The sequence below is a fragment of the Homo sapiens genome, chromosome 18 (genome assembly GCF_000001405.40).
Source record: "Homo sapiens chromosome 18, GRCh38.p14 Primary Assembly".
NCBI classification, from domain to species: domain Eukaryota; kingdom Metazoa; phylum Chordata; class Mammalia; order Primates; family Hominidae; genus Homo; species Homo sapiens.
In genome coordinates, this window is record NC_000018.10 from 77,952,197 (window position 1) to 77,957,049 (window position 4,853).

The 4,853-nt window shown below is 37.8% G+C and overlaps 1 annotated feature.

Moving 5' to 3' along the window:
* Positions 4,274 to 4,443: an enhancer, noted in NCBI's record as "experimental_50500 CRE fragment used in MPRA reporter constructs". NCBI's record gives its function as "activates a minimal promoter by MPRAs in K562 erythroleukemia cells, with activity observed for both the introgressed and non-introgressed 18:75668511 variant alleles {active_cell/tissue: K562}" and the evidence as "EXISTENCE:reporter gene assay evidence [ECO:0000049][PMID:34662402]".

The following is a 4,853-nucleotide window of genomic DNA, read 5'->3' on the forward strand; positions in this document are numbered from 1 at the left end:
CACAGTGGAACTGGAGCATCCTGGGTCTCCCACCAGCCTCTGTATATGGAGCACACCCAATTCTGTCCCTTCTGTCCGTTCCTCTGAGTGCTGGATCTCAGAATCTGGCTTTTCTACTGAGAGCACCGCCTTTAAATCTCTCAGGAAGCTCAAATCCAGTTGTCCACGATTAAGTCTGTAATCTCTCTTCACACGCACCATGTCCGTATGTCCTCTAAATTCCTACAGTTGGGAATGTCATTACCCAGGGCAAGGTGGATTCAGGCTTTGTGGAACATAAATCTTTATTAATTTGATACAGCGGATTTCCAAGGAAAATGGTACAAAAGCATGAATAAAATATATAGTGCAGGGCCTTCAAAAAGGACACATTCCAGCCATGCCTCTGGGCAAGCCAGACCCTCGGGCACTGGGCACTGTCTTTACTTTCTCCATATCCCATCATCTGCCAGTACTCCTCATAATTGCTCCAACACTTCATGTATCTTAGGTCCAGTTGAAGAGCCTCTCTTCACCCCTCCACTGTCACTAGATACTCCTACATGGCTCTCTCATAGAGTTAATTAATTGCCCTGTCTAGTAATTGCCGAGTTGCTTCTTGCTTCTAGTCATTGTGCACTCCTTAGGAGTAAACTCTCGATCTTATATCCACAGTGTACATGAGAGACATGGACAGCACTCAGTGAATGTTGAAAATGTTGAATAAATGTGTCGGAAAAAAAGTATCAGATACCTTTCAGTGATAGGATGTACTATAGGGAGGGGGGTGTATTTATGGAGAAACAACTTAGGTATCTGCTTGATGCCAGGTGTGTGACCTTAAATATAATTTATGCAATCTATAGAAAATTTATGGAAAATATAATTTTACATAATTAAATGAACTAAATTATATATATTTATGTTCAAGTACTGTGGAACTATAGTAAATACTAAGGGAAAATAGGATGGTTTCAAAAAGCCAGTTTCATACCTTTGGATTGATAATACAGAGAATAGCAAGGTGTCTTGAAGGAGAGATGCTAGAGAAATATTTTTAATTATTATTGATGGAAGGGGGAGATAACTGAGGCAATGATATTTTGGTGGTTTTATTTTATTACAAAATTGACATAGGCCAGGCACTGTGGATCATGCCTATAATCCCAGCGCTTTGGGAGGCCGAGGTGGGCAGACCATGAGGTCAGGAGTTCAAGAGCAGTCTGGCCAACATAGTGAAATCCCGTCTCTACTACAAATACAAAAAATTAGCCTGGCGTGGTGGCGGGCACCTATAATCCCAACTACTCGGGAGGCTGAGGCAGGAGAATCGTGTGAACCCAGGAGGCTGAGGTTGCAGTGAGCCAAGATTGTACCACTGCACTCCAGCCTGGGCGACAGTATGAAACTCTGTCGAAAAAAAAGAAAAAAAAAAGACATAAAGAGAGAACGCAGGTTTGGCCTAAGAACAGAGTGACCTGTGGCATGAATTCTGATGATGGTGCTAGAATGAGTTCTATTCTAAGTGAGCAGAATGGTGTGGGACATGGTGATTAATAGGGGAATGAGACTACCTGGAAACTAGGAAAGTTGTGTTCATGCTCTTTCAAAGTACTAGTGAGGAAAACTGTGACAAGAATGCATATTACTTTATGTAACTATTATGTAGGCACTGTATAAAAAGAACACTATGCAGTCTTTTATGATGTCAGACTAGTAGATGATGATGAAACTATATTGACAAGCAAAATTTATATCAAGGTAATTCAGCGTAAACAAATCTGCTTAAGAGTAAGATGTGCTTCAGTACCACTTAGACCATCTGACCTAAAATTTAATTACAGTCATGTGTTGCTACTTTAGTTAAAGTAGCTGTCAGAGGAATTGGTCAAAATTACATCACTAGGAAGTAGATCTACGATAGCAAGCAAATAAAGATCCTTAAAAAGTAGAGTCATATAAGAAACCTTCCCTGACTTATTTCTCTTATACTATATTTCACCATCTAATATAGAATATAATGTGCTTATTTACATTTTTGTGACCTGTATTCCTCCCACTAGAAGTTAAGATGGTACACTCAATGGCTGGGTGATGAAGCATGTAAAAAATGAATGAATCAGGGAAAGTCTCTGGCTTCCTGGAGCTCAGCATCTAGTGATTATATGAACAACTCTGTTGCATGACAGGCAAGAAAGTGTGGGTGTCAGGGACTCCCCAGGGTTGCCTGTGCCTGCAGTCGACTGTGTGGCATGGACCACTGACTGCTCACCAGTCATGGTGATGCTGGAATAAAAACTCTAGGATGGAGTGCGAATAAAACAGGAGGAAGATCACGCCTAGAAAAAGCTGCCATAGAGCCAGAACTCAGCCAAGACAAGTCAGGAAAGCTACATGTGGTCAGCAAGCTGATACATGGGTCAGAAAGCCAGTTATTGGCCAGCCTTTTGTGCTGGCTGGATAGCAGTACTAAGCAATATTTCCTAGGTGTTATATTCATGATGGCTTTTCCTCCTTATAGTGTCCAGATATTTTAAAATTTTGAGATCAGAGAAGCGTTAAATTATCTGATCTAAGTAATACCTTCATTGAAAAATATTTTTAAAAATTAGCACATCATTAGAAGATGGAACATTTAAAATGACAGTATTGAAAACAGAACAGGGTAAAATAAAAGCATTCGTTCTTAAAGTCTGCAGGACACAAATAGATAGAGAAATATTTATTTATATGTTATTTAGGAAAAACAGAAAAAGGTGCTTACTCGAAGACCTAAAAACAGCACTAGTTTTCAAGACAGTGGATTTAAGCGAGTCACTGATCAAACTGGGGAATATATGCAAAGAGTTTGGGGCCCTAAGCTTTTTAGCATCAAGAGATGGAACTTGCCCCAGGGTCTTGAGAGGGTTAATATATCTCGTCAACCTCCCCACCCCCAAAAGAGCAATTTCTTCCTTTCTCTGCCACACCATTAGGTTCACATACGCCCCTTCCATGTATCTTCAAATGGTCCCCAAAGGGGTGACTTAATAGATCTGAAAACACTAAACACCAAACTTATGAAATGCCTTTTAAGCGTAAGTGCACTCTCTATTTTTCTAAACAATTGTTCTTCTCAAGCACACTGTGCGTTTCTTACCATCTATGAAGCTTATGATCAGGACAAATGGAAGTTAACATTTCCAAGACACCACTGATCCTCTGGAGAGTGTATTGCTGCTAACTTAATAAAATCAGTTATTGTTTTTGACCTTGATATGCTTTTTTTTTTCTGAATTATCAAAATTGATCCTCCTAATGGTGCTCGATCTTTAGTGTTACTGATACTTATCAATTGTAATTTGGTCAAATATGGATTTATGCCCATTGATGGCAAATGATGACAGTCATGACTTGACCATTTTCTGCTAATGCTAGCATTTCCAATCCACATTCCATTTTATAGTGTCAGTAGCAAATGCGACTTACTGTAACAATACAGTAATATTTGCTTGTCTCTGTGAAGATCAGCATTATTTCTACTGCAGTATAAAATATATAAAATACCTTCTAAACTACGTTCAATTGAATTCAATTCAATTCACCAAATCCTTATGAAGACGGAGAATGCTGCATATTCCAAACCCTGGGAGTCTGTGCGTACTGCAGCCCCAGTGCGGGGTGGACACTGGGTTGCTGCACGTTATTACATCCAAAGAGGAGGATCGCCAGCCTCTTTTCAAATTTTAGTGTCAGTATTGGCTTTTCTTTTACCAGAAAAGCTTCAATGTACTTGAAACATCACAAAGAAATAAATTTAAAGTAAATGTATAGAACTTAAAATAATGAAATGAATCATTAACACAAGTGACTGTTACATTAATTTTATTCCCCAAAGCAAGTGTACTTCTGGTTGTGACATGATTGCCTCTAAAACCAATTGACAAATTTTCATTATATTATTTTAAATGAAAGCAAAAATAATAATGTTCAAAACCAAGGCAGGCTGAAAGAAACCTCAGGCTCTAGGTTCAGATTATTTTGCTTTCACATGTGACTATGGGAAAATGACCTGCCTGTTTCTGTTCCTTGGATTCGTTATGAAGAAAAGGGACAGGAATTAGTACTCATTGAGCAAATGCTATGTCCTAGGTACTGTGATAAACAATTCAGATACATGCTGTTTTATTTAGCAAGAACTCTTGCACTGGCTTTTTAAGTAAAACAGCATTTTCCTCAATTTTTATAATAATAATATTGAGACTCTAAATGGTTACTAATATGCACCTTCCTTTAGTAAGTGTCAGCGTTGGTATTCAAATGCAGAGAATTTTGTTTCAAATACCAAGAAAGAGTAAAATAATTACTTTTCTCATCCCTTAAATGCAACCAAGATAAAAATAAAAGGTGATGTGAGGAGTACATATTCTTAATATGAAAGGTTTTATAATTTCTTAATAGTTTCATGCTCTTAATAGTATATTAAATCCTTAAAAAAACCAAAAAGACTTGATTAGATATTGGCCTTAAAGTACTGCTTTTTAATGTTATAGATATACCAGTTATCACAACTAATTTTAGATTCATACAATGAAAATCTACCCTTTGATTTTATGTTTTAACATATATTCTCTTTCTTACTGTTGTCCATTACAAATTTGTAGTTTAAAAAAAAATCAGAATATTCAGTAACTTAGAGGATTTGGATGTTCTAACTTTTCTCTCACTCACAGGTGATGCAGAAAAAAGAAAAACAGTGAGAGATGACCTCTTCCTTGCTTCAGGGTCCCCACACCACAGGAAAAGCTTGGAGTAGTCTGGAAACAGGCAGGATGCCCATCAGGGAAATTCAGAAACCACAATGCTTCAACTACCTTGTTTCTTAAAGAGTAGGA